This window comes from Homo sapiens, chromosome 20 (assembly GCF_000001405.40).
Source record: "Homo sapiens chromosome 20, GRCh38.p14 Primary Assembly".
NCBI lineage: Eukaryota > Metazoa > Chordata > Mammalia > Primates > Hominidae > Homo > Homo sapiens.
This window is the reverse complement of record NC_000020.11, coordinates 41,191,507-41,209,458: the sequence shown is the minus strand read 5'-3', so window position 1 is coordinate 41,209,458 and position 17,952 is coordinate 41,191,507. Positions and strand designations below refer to the sequence as shown.

The 17,952-nt window shown below is 42.2% G+C and overlaps 1 protein-coding gene and 1 pseudogene across 25 annotated transcripts in view; one reads left to right on the top strand and one right to left on the bottom strand.

Annotated features, from left to right (window-relative positions):
- The window catches only part of ZHX3 (zinc fingers and homeoboxes 3), a 139,277-nt gene that overhangs the window by 108,273 nt on the left and 13,052 nt on the right, over window positions 1-17,952 (top strand). For 12 of the 25 annotated variants that reach the window (NM_001384317.1, NM_001384316.1, NM_001384319.1 and 9 more), the window contains one exon: window positions 4,393-7,402. In NM_001384317.1, the coding sequence (NP_001371246.1) occupies window positions 4,543-7,402 (2,860 nt within the window). In that variant the 5' untranslated portion in view covers window positions 4,393-4,542. Of the gene's footprint in view, window positions 1-4,392; window positions 7,403-8,074; window positions 8,174-17,952 lie in introns of all 25 variants that reach the window. The other 13 variants (NM_001384325.1, XM_047440036.1, XM_047440037.1 and 10 more) reach the window with 2 other exon arrangements.
- RPL23AP81 (ribosomal protein L23a pseudogene 81) lies at window positions 12,302-12,773 on the bottom strand (annotated as a pseudogene).

Here is a 17,952-nt window from a genome sequence, read left to right as displayed (position 1 = left end):
GTAGCCTTGTAGTATAGTATAGTTTGAAGTCAAGTAGCATGATGCCTCCAAGTTTGTTCTTTTGACTTAGGATAGTCTTGGCAATGTGGGCTCTTTTTTTGTTCCATATGACCTTTAAAGTAGTTTTTTCCAATTCTGTGAAGAAAGTCATTGGTAGCTTGATGGGGATGGCATTGAATCTATAAATTACCTTGGGCAGTATGGCCATTTTCACAATATTGATTCTTCCTATCCATGAGCATGGAATGTTCTTCCATTTGTTTGTGTCCTCTTATTTCGTTGAGCACTGGTTTGTAGTTCTCCTTGAAGAGGTCCTTCACATCCCTTGTAAGTTGGATTCCTAGGTATTTTATTCTCTTTGAAGCAATCGTGAATGGGAGTTCACTCATGATTTGGCTCTCTGTTTGTCTGTTATTGGTGTATTGGAATGCTTGTGATTTTTGCACATTGATTTTGTATCCTGAGACTTTGCTGAAGTTGCTTATCAGCTTAAGGAGATTTTAGGCTGAGACGATGGGGTTTTCTAAATATACAATCATGTCATCTGCAAACAGGGACAATTTGACTTGCTCTTTTCCTAATCGAATAACCTTTATTTCTTTCTCCTGCCTGATTGCCCTGGCCAGAACTTCCAACACTATGTTAATAGGAGTGGTGAGAGAGGGCATCCCTGTCTTGTGCCAGTTTTCAAAGGGAATGCTTCCAGTTTTTGCCCATTCAGTATGATATTGGCTGTGGGTTTGTCATAAATAGCTCTTATTATTTTGAGATACGTCCCATCAATACCTAATTTATTGAGAGTTTTTAGCATGAAGGGCTGTTGAATTTTGTCAAAGGCCTTTTCTGCATCTATTGAGATAATCATGTGGTTTTTGTCTTTGGTTCTGTTTATATGATGGATTACATTTATTGATTTGCATATGTTGAACCAGCCTTGCATCCCAGGTATGAAGCCAACTTGGTCGTGGTAGATAAGCTTTTTGATGTGCTGCTGGATTCGATTTGCCAGTATTTTATTGAGGATTTTTGCATCGATGTTCATCAGGGATATTGGTCTAAAATTCTCTTTTTTTGTTGTGTCTCTGCCAGGCTTTGGTATCAGGACGATGTTGGCCTCATAAAATGAATTAGGGAGGATTCCCTCTTTTTCTGTGGATTGGAATAGTTTCAGAAGGAATAGTACCAGCTCCTCTTTGTACCTGTGGTAGATTCAGCTGTGGATCTGTCTGGTCCTGGACTTCTTTTGGTTGGTAGGCTATTGATTATTGCCTTAATTTCAGAACCTGTTATTGGTGTATTCAGGGATTCAACTTCTTCCTGGTTTAGTCTTGGGAGGGTGTATGTGTCCAGGAATTTATCCATTTCTTCTAGATTTTCTAGTTTATTTGCGTAGAGGTATTTATAGTATTCTCTAATGGTAGTTTGTATTTCTATGGGATCGGTGGTGATATCCCCTTTATTGTTTGTTATTGTGTCTATTTGATTCTTCTCTCTTTTCTTCTTTATTAGTCTTGCTAGCTGTCTATCAATTTTGATGTTTTCAAAAAACCAGCTCCTGGATTCATTGATTTTTTGAAGGGTTTTTTGTGTCTCTATCTCCTTCAGTTCTGCTCTGATCTTAGTTATTTCTTGCCTTCTGCTAGCTTTTGAATGTGTTTGTTCTTGCTTCTCTAGTTCTTTTAATTGTGATGTTAGGGTGTCAATTTTAGATATTTCCTGCTTTCTCTTGTGGGCATTTAGTGCTATAAATTTCCCTCTACACACTGCTTTAAATGTGTCCCAGAGATTCTGGTATGTTGTGTCTTTGTTCTCATTGGTTTCAAAGAACATCTTTCTTTGTGCCTTCATTTCGTTATGTACCCAGTAGTCATTCAGGAGCAGGATGTTCAGTTTCCATGTAGTTGAGCGGTTTTGAGTGAGTTTCTTAATCCTGAGTTCTAGTTTGATTGCACTGTGGTCTGAGAGACAGTTTATTATAATTTCTGTTCTTTTACATTTGCTGAGGAGTGCTTTACTTCCAACTATGTGGTCAATTTTGGAGTAAGTGTGCTGTGGTGCTGAGACAAATGTATATTCTGTTCATTTGGGGTGGAGAGTTCTGTAGATGTCAGTTAGGTCTGCTTGGTGCATTTAGCCCATTTACATTTAAGGTTAATATTGTTATGTGTGAATTTGATCCTGTCATTATGATGTTAGCTGGTTATTTTGCTCGTTAGTTGATGCAGTTTCTTTCTAGCATTGATGGTCTTTACAATTTGGCATGTTTTTTGCAGTGGCTGGTACCAGTTGTTCCTTTCCATGTTTAGTGCTTCCTTCAGGAGCTCTTGTAAGGCAGGCCTGGTGGTGACAAAATCTCTCAGCATTTGTTTGTCTGTAAAGGATTTTATTTCTCCTTCACTTATGAAGCTTAGTTTGGCTGGATATGAAATTCTGGATTGAAAGTTCTTTTCTTTAAGAATGTTGAATATCGGCCCCCACTTCTCTTCTGGCTTGTAGAGTTTCTGCCGAGAGATCCGCTGTTATTCTGATGGGCTTCCCTTTGTGGGTAACCCGACCTTTCTCTCTGGCTGCCCTTAACATTTTTTCCTTCATTTCAACTTTGGTGAATCTGACAATTAATGTGTTTTGGAGTTGCTCTTCTCGAGGAGTATCTTTATGTTGTTCTCTGTATTTCTGAATTTTAATGTTGGCCTGCCTTGCTAGGTTGGGGAAGTTCTCCTGGATAATATCCTGAAGAGTGTTTTCCAACTTGGTTCCATTCTCCCTGTCATTTTCAGGTACACCAATCAGACGTAGATTTGTTCTTTTCACATAGTCCCATATTTCTTGGAGGCTTTGTTCGTTTCTTTTTTCTCTTTTCTCTCTAAACTTCTCGCTTCATTTCATTAATTTGATCTTCAATCACTGATACTCTTTCTTCCACTTGATCAAATCGGCTACTGAAGCTTGTGCATGCGTCATGTAGTTCTCATGCCATGGTTTTCAGCTCTATCAGGTCATTTAAGGTCTTCTCTACACTGTTCATTCTAGTTAGCTATTCATCTAATCTTTTTTCAAGGTTTTTAGCTTCTTTGTGATGGCTTCGAGCATCCTCCTTTAGCTCAGAGAAGTTTGTTATTACTGATCGTCTGAAGCCCTCTTCTCTCAACTCATCAAAGCCATTCTCCATCCAGCTTTATTCCATTGCAGGTGAGGAGCTGCGTTCCTTTGGAGGAGAAGAGGCACTCTGATTTTTAGAATTTTCAGCTTTTCTGCTCTGGTTTCTCCCCATCTTTGTGGTTTTATCTACCTTTGGTCTTTGATGATGGTGGCGTCCAGATGGGGTTTTGGTGTGGATGTCCTTTCTGTTTGTTAGTTTTCCTTCTAACAGTCAGGACCCTCAGATGCAGGTCTGTTGGAGTTTTCTGGAGGTCCACTCCAGACCCTGTTTGCCTGGGTATCACCAATGGAGGCTGCAGAACAGCAAATACTGCAGAACGGCAGATGTTGCTGTCTGATCCTCCCTCTGGAAGCTTCATCTCAGAGGGGCACCCAGCTGTATGAGGTGTCAGTCGGCCCCTACTGGGAGGTGCCTCCCAGTTAGGCTACTCAGGGGTCAGGGACCCACTTGGGGAGGCAGTCCAACTGTTCTCAGATCTCAAGGTGAGACCACCCTTTGAGTGGTCGTACACAGAAAATGTATAGCTTGCTGGGCCACAAACTGGTTCTGTGGATTCCCTGACCCTCTGACCTTTGGTTTCATCTCAGTAACAGTGGTCCGGGATACATAACAGCCAGTAACTGTAAGGTGATCGCTTTTCTGTGGCCTGGAATAAGTGCGGCAGGCAAGGAAAGGCTACAGAGGCCTGGCTCTTACAGCAGCCGGTCTTCCTAGCCACCCCCGCCCACCCCACCCCTTCCGTTCACACACTGCAGCTAACTTGGTCCCTGGGCCTGGCTTGGGACAGACAGAGGCGTCATCTTGTTCTCATATGCGGGAAGGCTATGAAAAGAAAACCGCGTGTTGGTCCAAAATGTAAACAAGAATTACACTAGGATCTTTTGTTCTCACTCTGACATGGTCAGAATTAATTTGGAGGTCCAAAAAGAGGGCGTTTTGTTTTTTAATCTGAATTACTTAATGCAGGGATATGTAGGGGGTGGTGGGGAAGAAACAAAAATACGTTGCTTAAGTCTATCAGTTGGTATTGGACCATCCCCAGGTCATTCTTCAGGGTCCAGTTTTTGTCATTAGGGGGTTCCTAACTTAGACTTCATATCCAAGTTGCTGATTAAACTTACTGTGAAAAGACCTAGATGGTAGAAGGCAAGCAGTGGAATGTGTCTGGGTATCCGAGAAATATACAGAAAGCACTTAAGAGAACTTAATCATTTTTTTCTCCCTTTCCTTAGATTGAATAGGGAAAACCTGCTTTCTGCAAACAACTGAAAAAGCTGCATTTAGAAACTGTTTCTTTGGCCCTCATCGAGAAGCTGGAACTTGTATTGTTAGGCCCCTTATGGGACAAGCTCTCAACTGCTGATCACCCAGTGATTGTCACCATGGCCAGCAAGAGGAAATCCACCACACCATGCATGATCCCAGTGAAGACTGTGGTGTTGCAAGATGCCAGCATGGAGGCCCAGCCCGCTGAGACCTTGCCTGAAGGACCCCAGCAGGATCTGCCCCCAGAAGCATCTGCTGCCAGCAGTGAGGCAGCACAGAACCCCAGCAGTACTGATGGCTCTACACTGGCCAATGGGCATCGGAGCACTTTAGATGGCTATTTATATTCCTGTAAATACTGCGATTTCAGATCCCATGACATGACCCAATTTGTGGGACATATGAACTCAGAGCACACAGACTTTAATAAAGACCCAACCTTTGTATGCAGTGGGTGCAGTTTTCTGGCAAAAACCCCTGAGGGGCTTTCCTTGCACAATGCCACATGTCACTCCGGGGAAGCCAGCTTTGTGTGGAACGTGGCCAAGCCAGACAATCATGTGGTTGTGGAGCAGAGCATCCCTGAGAGCACCAGCACTCCTGACCTAGCGGGTGAGCCCAGTGCTGAAGGGGCTGATGGACAGGCAGAAATCATCATTACCAAAACTCCAATCATGAAGATAATGAAAGGCAAAGCTGAAGCCAAAAAAATTCATACACTCAAGGAGAATGTCCCTAGCCAGCCTGTGGGTGAGGCCTTACCAAAGCTGTCGACTGGAGAAATGGAGGTGAGAGAGGGGGACCATTCCTTCATCAATGGGGCAGTTCCAGTCAGCCAGGCATCTGCCAGCTCTGCAAAAAACCCCCATGCCGCCAACGGGCCCCTGATAGGAACAGTGCCAGTTTTGCCAGCTGGCATAGCACAGTTCCTCTCCCTCCAGCAGCAGCCCCCAGTGCATGCCCAACACCATGTCCACCAGCCACTGCCCACGGCCAAGGCCCTTCCCAAAGTGATGATCCCCCTGAGCAGCATTCCAACGTACAATGCAGCCATGGACTCTAACAGCTTCCTGAAGAACTCCTTCCACAAGTTCCCCTACCCCACCAAAGCCGAGCTCTGCTATTTGACTGTGGTGACCAAGTATCCAGAAGAACAGCTCAAGATCTGGTTCACAGCCCAAAGGCTGAAGCAGGGGATCAGCTGGTCCCCTGAGGAGATTGAGGATGCCCGGAAAAAGATGTTCAATACAGTCATCCAGTCTGTGCCTCAGCCCACAATTACGGTTCTAAATACCCCACTCGTCGCCAGTGCTGGCAATGTCCAGCATCTCATCCAGGCCGCTCTTCCAGGTCACGTTGTGGGGCAGCCAGAGGGTACAGGAGGGGGACTTCTGGTCACTCAGCCATTGATGGCCAATGGGTTGCAAGCAACAAGTTCCCCTCTCCCCCTCACGGTGACATCCGTCCCCAAGCAGCCAGGTGTGGCACCCATTAACACTGTGTGTTCAAATACAACGTCAGCTGTGAAGGTGGTCAATGCGGCCCAGTCGCTCCTCACGGCCTGCCCCAGCATAACCTCCCAAGCCTTCCTTGATGCTAGCATCTACAAAAATAAGAAATCTCATGAACAGCTGTCAGCTCTGAAAGGGAGCTTCTGTCGGAACCAGTTCCCAGGGCAGAGCGAAGTTGAACATCTCACAAAAGTGACGGGCCTCAGTACCAGAGAGGTGCGGAAATGGTTCAGTGATCGTAGATACCACTGCCGGAACTTGAAGGGCTCCAGAGCGATGATACCTGGAGATCACAGTTCCATCATCATTGACTCTGTGCCAGAGGTGTCCTTCTCCCCATCGTCCAAGGTCCCTGAGGTAACCTGCATTCCGACAACAGCCACACTAGCAACCCACCCTTCTGCCAAACGACAATCTTGGCACCAGACTCCTGACTTCACACCAACCAAATACAAGGAGAGAGCCCCTGAGCAGCTCAGAGCCCTGGAGAGCAGTTTTGCACAAAACCCTCTTCCTCTTGATGAGGAACTGGACCGCCTGAGAAGTGAAACCAAAATGACCCGACGAGAAATTGATAGCTGGTTTTCAGAGAGACGGAAAAAAGTGAATGCTGAGGAGACCAAGAAGGCTGAGGAGAATGCCTCTCAGGAGGAAGAGGAGGCTGCTGAGGATGAGGGTGGAGAAGAGGATTTGGCCAGTGAGCTAAGGGTCTCTGGTGAAAATGGCTCTCTGGAAATGCCCAGCAGCCATATCTTGGCAGAGCGCAAAGTCAGCCCCATTAAAATCAACCTGAAGAACCTGAGGGTCACTGAAGCCAATGGCAGGAACGAGATTCCAGGGCTGGGTGCCTGTGACCCTGAGGATGATGAGTCAAACAAACTGGCAGAGCAGCTCCCAGGCAAAGTGAGCTGCAAAAAGACTGCCCAGCAGCGGCACTTGCTGCGGCAGCTCTTTGTCCAGACACAGTGGCCAAGCAACCAGGACTATGACTCCATCATGGCCCAGACGGGTCTGCCACGGCCAGAGGTGGTGCGCTGGTTTGGAGATAGCAGGTACGCACTGAAGAACGGCCAACTCAAATGGTACGAAGACTATAAGCGAGGCAACTTCCCACCAGGGCTACTGGTCATTGCCCCTGGCAACCGGGAGCTCCTGCAGGACTATTACATGACACACAAGATGCTGTATGAAGAGGACCTGCAGAACCTCTGTGACAAGACCCAGATGAGCTCCCAGCAGGTCAAGCAGTGGTTTGCTGAGAAAATGGGGGAGGAGACCAGAGCCGTGGCAGACACAGGCAGTGAGGACCAGGGCCCTGGTACTGGTGAGCTCACAGCAGTTCACAAAGGGATGGGTGACACCTATTCAGAGGTGTCTGAGAACAGTGAGTCGTGGGAGCCCCGTGTCCCTGAGGCCAGCTCAGAGCCCTTTGACACATCGAGTCCCCAGGCTGGACGTCAGCTCGGTAAGGAGTCCACAGGGGCCATGGCTATCCTGTGTGGGTAAGGGGAGGAGGCACTTATGGTTGGGCACTGAATTTACTGCACAGGGGCATCTGCTGTCTCTAAGGCTGCCTGGCAGCAGCATTAACCGCCTGGCTGCTTCAGAGGACAACTAGCAGCAGAAGCCATAGGAATATAATATGATAAACGGTTGAGAGCTGTTTTTTGTTTCATGTGTTTTTAAAAACCTGCGCAGGGGAAGGAACATGGTGACCCTAAAGGGGTCCAAGCTTTTCTAGCCATTTCTTAGCAATAGGAGAACAGGTCAAAACATCCTCTGAGTCGGGCAGATCCACAGCCACTGGGTAGGAGACAGCAACAGGACATGAGTTGAAATTCAGCTCAAATTGATGAAAAGGAAAGAGAGCCTTTAATTGTCCTTAGATACATAATGTGCTTTTTTCTGATGATGAAAGTCTTGTGTTTCTCTGGTTATGCCTGATGTAGAAGAAATGTTTAGTATAATGGAAAATCACCTTCCTTCTTTGACATACATGGAATCAAAAGCTTGAATTTTGTTCCTCAGTTTCTCTGGATTGTACTCGAAAGCAAAATGTATCATAGAAGATTATTTTTATTTAAGACATAGTTTTGAAGCCACAGACAAGTCATGTTATTACGTGTTGATTTTCTAGGTTCCTGGTCACTGAGTTCCCAGCCTCTCCCTTCCCTCCTTACCCTTTGACATTTGTGTTCTCATTAGAGACCCCATCAGAGGGCAGCCAGAAGCTCAGGTGAGAGCCAGGAGGGCGGAGTATTGTAGAAGCTGAAGGGATTGGGGGTTCCAAAATGGCAGCATTGCTAGCTGAGTTGGCAATGTGGGAGGGGGTACAGGAGACACTATTTGTGGTGTTGGGCAATGTGATGGTTCCGTGGTGACTTTGGCATGAGCTGCCTCAGTGTGGGGCCTTGTGTTTGGTACCTCATCCCCAGGGCCAACCATAGTGGCCTATCCCTCAGAAATCCCACAGAATTTCCTGGATGGTGTTGCATTGTTTCCATACAATAGCCAACCATTGTTGTTTGTTTATTTTGGCCTGGCAAATCCCAGCTCCTCCACCCCAGTTGCTTTCTACTTAGGATGTCTTAAAAAGGACAAAATTCTTTTTCTTTCTCTGAATATTTTAAATTCATTTGAACACAACAGTTTGAAACATAGTTATGCTATTGTTTCTTTACTGAATTAAGGAAAAAGAGACTTCCTTTTTGGCCCATAATTTGGTGGGTTGGGGGCGGGGAGTACCATGTCATCCATCTGTTTAGCATTTGCAGAAAGCCTGTTCTTCTCATATTAACATACTAAGGCAAAATCCAGTTCCACAAAGCCCACAGTGAGAGCAAACACCTGGTGGAGCCCAAAGCCCTGGTCAGCACTTAGGGTAGGAGTACAAGGGCCACTGGCTCCCTTACAGCCTCCTCCAACTCCAGCCATGTTTTCAATACGGCAACAACAAAACACTCCCCTCCTTTGGGGCCCACAGCTCACAGCCTGCTTTATAAAGTAGCTGATGGCACACCCTGGAGTCAGAACAACAGGTTTTTATGGCTAGTTTAACTTTTTTATAATGCAGAGCAGGTAGTCTCTCCTACAAGTCTTTGTCCAAGTTTGTAAGTTGGTCCTTATATTATACCCAGCTCTGTGCTTCTTGTAATATACCAGTAGGCCAGGGTGTCATGCTCAAGAGAGATGAGGATGTTTGAACAAGTTGATTACGAAAGCTGACATGGAGAATGATGTTATGGAAGATGGCAGTAGCAGCACCAGGAATCTTTTCCTCCACCAAAGCAGTTGAGCTGGCAGTAATTGTCTCAAGCAACTGTTTTGGGACTCAGAAGTCTAGTTGAACACTTGCAACATCCAGGGAAGAGCTTGATGGAGAGGCTTACAAATTTTGATGGTTTTTTTTTGTTTCAGCATCCGCAAGCTCTGCAGCAGGCAACTGTGGAAAATGTTCCTGGTGCAGACTGTTGGTGCCAGGGTAGGCAATAACAACTTTGTCCTCCAAAAGTCAAGTTTTTGTGGCCAGGTGTGGTGGCTCACACCTGTAATCCCAGCACTTTGGGAGGCTGAGGTGTGGATCACTTGAGGTCAGGAGTTTGAGGCCAGCCTGGCCAACATGGTAAAACCCTGTCTCTATTAAAAATACAAAAATTAGCCAGGCATGTTGGTGAGTGCCTGTAATCCCAGCTATTTGGGAGGCTGAGGCAGGAGAATCACTTGAACCTGGGAGGCAGAAGTTGCAGTGAGCCAAGATGACACCACTGCGTTCCAGCCTGGGCAACAGAGTGAGGCTCCATTGCAAAAAAAAAAAAAAAAGAGTTTTTTGATTTCTGATTACTGCATTTAATCACTGAGGGGGCCAGTGCAGAGGCTGATCATTGTCTCAATGCCCTTGGGCAGAGGGAGCTTTCTAGCCACAAGGGGATTTAAAGAGACAGTACCTATTTTTTTTTTTCTTTATTCCTCCTTTTGGCAAGCCAGATATTTAAGGAAATCTTAGGTCACTGGTTAACCACAGAGATATCACAACAGAAACTTCACTGACCCCATACTGCAAAGAATACACACTTCACAAAAATAGTTGGAAAAGTCACAAATAGTTGGCTCCAGCCCTCAATAAGCAAAAATCAGCAATCTCTGAGGCATGACAGAATTAGATTCTCAGTTACCACAATGTAATACTCATAATGTCCAGTTCTCAACAAAAAATTACAAAACATAAAAAGAAATAGAAAACCATGGTCCATTCACAGGAAAAAAAATTGACAGGCACCATCCTTGAGGAAGTCCAGACATTGGAATTATTACCCAAAGACATTAAATCAACTATCTTAAGTATGTTCAGCGAGCTAAAGGAAAACATGGACGAAGAACTAAAGGAAATCAGGAAAACCATGCATGAACAAAATGAGAATATCAATAAAGAGATAGAAATTATAAAAAGGAACCAAACAAATTCTAGAGCTAAAAAGTATAATCCCTGAAATGGAAAACCCACTAGAGGGATTCAACAAAGATTTGGGCATGCAAAAGAAGAGAACAGTGAATTTGAAGAGAAAATAATTGAAATTATCCAAAGGAGAAGAAAGAAAAAAAATATTTAGGAAAAAAAACCTGAGAGAGCTGTGAGACATCATCAAGCATACTAATGTACTCATATATTCATATAGTTATTATATTCATTAGTATATTCATACTCATATACTCATATAGGAATCGCAGAAAAAGAAAAGGGACAGAAAGAATATTTAAAGAAATAATGATAGAAAATTTCCCAAATCTGATGAAAGACATGAATCTACACATCCAAAAAGCTCAATAAAATCCAAGCAGGATGAACTCAGATCCACACCAAGACATGTTATATTAGGATTGTCAAAACCTGAAGACAGGATTTTGAAAGCAGCAAGAGAGAAGCAACTCGTCACACAGAATTTTTGACAAGATTAACAGCCGATTCCTCATCAAAAATCTTGGAAGCCCAAAGGCAGTGAGATGACATATCTAAAGTCGTGAAAAAAAGAAAAAAAAAAAACCTCTAAACCAAGATTTCTGTATATGGCAAAACTATTCTTCAAAAATGAAAGAGAAATCCAGACATTTCCAAATAAAATTGAAGGAGATCATTATTAGTAGACATGCCCTACCAGAAATGCTAAAGGGAGTCCTTCATGCTGAAATGAAAGGATACTGAACAGAAACTTGAAGCCATAAGAAAAAATAGGCCAGGTGCCGTGGCTCACACCTGTAATCCCAGCACTTTGGGAGGCCGAGGCGGGTGGATCACGAGGTCAGGAGTTTGAGACCAGCCTGGCCAACATGGTGAAAACCCATCTCTACAAAAAATACAAAACTTAGCTGGGCCTGGTGGTGCTAATCCCAGCTACTTGGGAGGCTGAGGCAGGAGAATCGCTTGAACCTGGGAGGCAGAGCTTGCAGTGAGCCGAGATCGCACCACTGTACTCCAGCCTGGGTGGGGCAGAGCAAGACTCCATCACAAAAAAAAAAAAAAAAAAAAAGAGCACTAGTTAAGATAACTTTAGAGGTAAATATAAGAGCCAGTACTATTGTACTTTTGGTTTATAACTTTTTCTCTTTGTGCTTTATAATTTAAAAGACAAATTCATTAAAAAATTATAAATCTATATTAATGGGCATAGAATGTAAGATGTAATCTGTCTAAATAGTAAAACTAACAAATTAGTGCATTGTAAAAACAGAATCAAAACAGTACATTGTGAACAATCAAATAAATACAAAAGGAGGTAGTAATGGAATTGAGGAATCAAAAACATATAAGACATATTAAAAACAAATAGCCAAATGGCAGAAGTAAATCCTTGATCTGTAATCACATTAAATGTAAAGGGATTAAGCTCTTCTATTAAAAACAAAGATTGGCAGATTGGAGTTAAACAAATAGTGTTTATATGCTGTCTTAAGAGACTCATGTTAGATATAAGGACACAAGGAGGTTGAAAGTAAAAGGATAGAAAAAGATACACCTAGAAAATAGTAACCATATGACAGCTGAGGTGGCTATATTATCACCAGACAAAATAATCTGTTTTTTCTGGAGAAAAAAAATATATATATTTTAAATATATACAATTATATATAAAATATATTTAAAATATATACAATTATATATAAAATATATATTTTAAATATATACAATTATATATAAAATATATATGTATTTTAAATATATACAATTATATATAAAATATATATGTATTTTAAATATATACAATTATATATAAAATATATATGTATTTTAAATATATACAATTATATATAAAATATATGTATAACATGTTATATATATATAATTTAGAATTAGCCAGCAAGACTCAGCCAAGATGATCCCAGTTTTGTTGGCAACCTCAGAAGCATTGTAATCAGGAGCCAGTTGAACATACGCCTTCTTCTCTCCATCAGCCCTGATCAATGTGTTGACTTTGACCACATCAGTGTCATAGAGCTGCTTCACAGCCTGACCTGGTACTTTTTGGCTTTTAACATCCACAGTGAACACAGGTGTATTGTTGTCTTCTATCTAATTCACATCAGACTCAGTGGTCACTGGTTATTGGGAACTTGATGATGGCATAGTGGTCAAGCTTATTTCTCCTGGTAGTGCTCTTCTGAGGATATTGAGGCTGTCTTCAGAGTCATAATGTCTTGGGCCACAGGAAGGTGGGTGATGTGTGAATCTTTTTTTTTTTTTTCTTGGTGGCTGTGTGGATGCCTTTCAGCACTGCCTTCTTGGCCTTCAAAGCCTTCACTTTGGGATCAGCTTTAGGAGAGTCAAGAGCTTCCTTCTTCACCTCCAGTGTCCTCTTTTGAAAAAGGCACACAAAATAAATGTTAAATCAAGAAAGGTTACAAGAGACAAGGATATTATATTGATAAAATATTTATATATATAAATATATATATTTTTATATATATTATATATAATATATATTATATATAATATTTATATAATATATAATATATAATATATATTTATAATATATAATATATATTTATAATATATAAATATATATTATATATAAATATATTATATATAATATATATATTTATATAAATATATATTATATATAATATATAATATATATAAATATATATTTATGTTATATAAATATATATATTTATAAGATATATATTTATATATGAAATAAAAATATATTTATTATAAATATATATTTATTTTTATATATTTATTTATATATATTATATATATATATACCCCTAACAGAGCTCCAAAACATATGAAACAGAAATGACAGAATTAAAGGGAGAAAGACAAAAATAGTTGGAGACTTTAATATTCCATGTCCGATAATGGATATAGAAACCAGACAGAAGATCAATCAGGAAATAGAGGATTTCAACAACACTCTAAGCAAATTAGACCAAATAGACATAAGCAGAATACCACCCAACAACAGCAGAATACACAGTCTTCTCAAATTCACATGGAATACTCTCCAGGATAAACCGTATGTTAAGCCATGAAACAAGTGTTAATACATTTTTAAAAACTGAGATTATACAGAGTACATTCCAGTTACAGTGGAATGAAACTAGACATTGAAAATAAAAAAGTGGAAATACACAAATAGGTGGAAATTAACACACTATTTAAAAACTAATGGGTCAAAGAAATCATAAGGGAAAGTAAAAAATACCTTGAGACAAATGAAAACACAGCATACCAGAACTTATGACACATAGTGAAAGCAATCCTAAGAGGTAAATCTGTAGCTGTAAATGCATACATTAAAAGAGAACTTACGCTGGGCGCAGTGGCTTATGCCTGTAATCCCCACACTTTGGGAGGCTAAGGTGGGTGGATCACCTGAGGTCAGGAGTTCGAGACCAGCCTGGCCAACATAGTGAAACCCTGTCTCTACTAAAAATACAAAAATTAGGTGGACATGGTGGCAGGCACCTGTAATCCCAGCTACTTGGGAGGCTGAGGCAGGAGAATAATTTGAACCCAGGAGGCAGAGGTTGCAGTGAACTGAGACCGCACCATTGCACTCCAGCCTGGGCAACAAGAGCGAAACTCCTTCTCAAAAAATAAAAAATCTCAGTCGAGCATGGTGGCTTGCATCTATAATCCCAGTGCTTTGGGAGGCCAAGGCAGGAGGATCACTTGAGGCCAGGAGTTTGAGACCTGCCTGGGTAACAAAGTGGGATCCTGTCTCTACAAAAAAGTAAAAAATAAGCCAGGTGTGGTGGCATGTTCCTGTAGTGCCAGCTACTCAGGTGTCTGGGGTGGGAGGATTGTTTACCAGGAGTTTGAGGTTATAGTGAGCTATACTTGCACCACTGCATTCCAGCCTGGGTGACAGCGTAAGACCCCATGTCTTAAAAAAACTTTTTTTAAGATCTCAAATCAGTAAACTAAATGTACACTTTAAAGAACTAGAAAAGAGCAAATGAAACCCAAAGTTACCAGAAGGAAGGAAATAAAGGTTAGAGCAGATATAGAGAATCAATGAAACCAAAAGTTGGTTCTTGAAAAAACAAAATTGACAAACCTTTAAATAAGAATGAAAGAGAAGACTTAAATTACTAACATCAGAAAGGAAAGAGGGGATGTTACATTTTCACATGAATATAAGATATTTTCACATGAATATGATATTATAAGAGACTACTATTAACAGTTATGTGCCAATAAATTGGGTAACCTAGATGAAATTCCTAGAAACCCGCACTCTCCCAAAATCAACTGACAAATAAATAAAAAACCAAAATATATCAATAACTGGTAAGAAGATTGTTATCAGAAACATTCCAACAGTGACAAGTCTAGGACCCCTGGTGAATTCTTCCAAATATTGAAAGAAGAATTAACACACCAGTTCTCCTCAAACTCCTCCAAAAAAATTGAAGAGGAGTAAACACTTCTTAACTCATGAGGTCACCATTACCCTGACACCAGAGCAAGACAAGGGCACTACAAGAAAAGAAATCTACAGACTAATATCTCTTATGAATATAGATACAAAAATCCCCAACAAAATAGCAAGCCAAATTCAGCAGCATACTAAAAGGATTATACCTCATGAGCAAGAGGGATCTATCCCTGCAATGCAAGGATTGCCTGGCACATGAATATCAATGTAATTCACCACATTACAAGAATAAAGAGAATAAAACACATCATCCTAATTCAAGCAGAAAGAGCATCTAACAAGTCAACTTGCTTTCATGACAATAAACACTCAGTAACTAGGAATATGACAATATGATGAAGACCATATATGAAAAGCCCACAATTAACATCATACTCAACAATGGGGAAAGACCGAAAACTTTTCCCCTGAGATCAGGAATAAAATAAAGATGCCCAGTTTTGCCACATCTATTCAAAACAGCATTGGAAGTTCTAGCCAGAGCAGTTAGGCAAAAAAAATAAATAAAAGGATCCAAGTTCGAAAGGAAGAAGTAAAATTATCTTTGTTCACAGATGACATGATCATATATGTAGAAACTTGAGGCCAGTTGTGGTAGCTCACGCCTGTAATCCCAGCACTTTGAGAGGCCAAGGCAGGTGGATCACAAGGTCAAGAGATCGAGACCACCCTGGCCAACATGATGAAACCCCGTCTCTACTAAAAATACAAAATTAGCTGGGCATGGTGGCATGTGCCTTTAGTCTCAGGGTTAGGGCTGAGGCAGGAGAATCACTTGAGCCTGGCAGGCAGAGCTTGCAGTGAGCCGAGATCATGCCACTGCACTCCAGCCTGGTGACAGAGCGAGACTCCTTCTCAAAAAAAAAAAACAAAAACAACAACAACAACAAAAAAAAAACTTGAATCCACACACACACAAAAATAGTTAAGAGCTAATAAATGAACTTGGCAAAGCTGCAGGATATAAAAACAAAAAAAATCATTTGTATTTAGCTGGGCACAGTGACATAACTGTAGTCCCACTACTTGGGAGGCTGAGGCAGGAATTCAAGGAGGCCAGCCTGGGCAACATAGTGAGACCCTATCTGTCTAAAAAAATTGGTCGTATTTTTATACACTTGCAATGAACAATCTGAAAAGAAAATTTTAAAAATGGTATCATTTACAAGGGCATCAAAAAGAAAAAGTGCTTAGGAATACATTTAACCAAGGAGGCCAAAGAAGTGTATCTTGAAAACAACAAAATGTTGCTGAAAAACATTAAAGATAACCTAAATAAATAGAAAGATATCCCATGTTCATGGATTGATATTAAGATGTAGACGTGACCCAAAGCAAACTACAGAGTCAATGTAAAATCTATCAAAAGCATAGTCGCATTTTTACAGAAATAAGAAAATCCAGGAAGACCCAACCAAAATGGCTGACTAGAGGCATTTTGTACTCGCCTCTTCCATTAAGAACAAAAATAGAGAGTAGATAATCACACTTTGAATAGATTATCCAAGACAGAACACTGGAATTCACGGAAAAGAGACAGGAAACAAAGTAAGGAAGGAAAAAGAAGCAAGGCAGCCTGTTCAGCTGGGATTGGCTGGGAACTGAGAGAGACCCCCCAGCATGGGGAAAAGGTAAGTGAGAGACCCTCAGTGGTCCACATTTCCACCATGAAAGGATTCTGCAGTTCTAGCCACGGGAGAGCTCCTCAGCCCTTGCAGTCCCTGAAACTTAACATAGGAGGTGCCAGGAGATTGTTCAATGGAACTGCTCCAGAACGGAGCTCGCACTGGGTCCCCCACACTTCCTGAGAACAAAACAGCTACAGCAAGATGCCATTTAAAGCCCACCCCCCAAAAGACTGTACACTGTCCTGGAGTCCCTGAGTGCCAGGGCTGAGGTGTAAGAGAACTGCAGACTGTTTTCCCCAGAGCTGAGGCATAAGTGACTGGGTTACTGCAGCTGGGGCTGAAGCACTACAAGGCATGTGCTCCTGTTGTTGTGGCTGAGGTACAACTATGGTGCCAGCTACCATAGCAGGGGCTGAGGCACAAGTGCCACTGGAGCTGAGTGAGGTGTGAGTGGCACATGCATTCCCCACTGGCCAGCAACCCTGTGCTCTCCAATGGAAGGTAGTAGTACAGCACTGCCACTCCCTATCCAAGCATTCTGAAGGTGGCCTAGGGATTGCCCTGCACCTGCCCACCTTGGTTGGCACCTGCACACATCATAGGGAGCCTGAAGATGAGACTGCCCAGCCTGGCTTTACACCACCACCTCCGTGGCCAGAGCACACAGTCTAGGGGCTGGGGGATTGTCCAGCCTAGTCCACCACCATTGGCACTTGAATACTCCTCTTGGGTACCTGAGGTTGGGGCTTACCCACTTGGCCACTACTACCTGTATGTACCACTTGTGGGCCTGCAGAATGGGCCGCCCAGCCTGTTGCAGCCACTGCCAACACAAGCACATATCACTTGGGACCCAGAGGGTCATTTCAACACTGTCACTGCCATCTCCCATGCCACGCCAGCTGCCCAGGGGCCTGAGAACCTGATCACATGCCTGGGAACTGCTGCCACTACTGACATCTGAGTAAGCCACCCGAAAGCCCAAGAATCAGCCTGCTTGAACCCACTAACACTGGTGCCATTGTATGCTCCTCTGAGGTCCAAAGACAGGCATGCTCTGTCCACTGCTGCTACCACTGGTGCCTGGAGAATGGCCCACCTGGCATTCCAGTCCTTAGCAAAATTTTACCATAGCTTCCACTAGTAACTACTCAGCCACTGAGGAAATCACAGATACCACTGATGCTATTTATAGCCAAAGAAATCATACAGAGACTACACTACTGCACATACCAAGAATCAAAGCCAAAGTGTCCTACCCAAACAACACCATAGATACGTCTAGGAAAAAGTCCTCCCTTACAAATGCAAATGCAAAAAATTAGAAGAAACAACTGTTACACCAGATGTGCAGATATCAACATAAGGACACAAACATGAAAAAGCAAGGAAATATGACACCTCAGAAGGAACACAATAAATTTCCTGCAATAGATTCCAATAAAAAA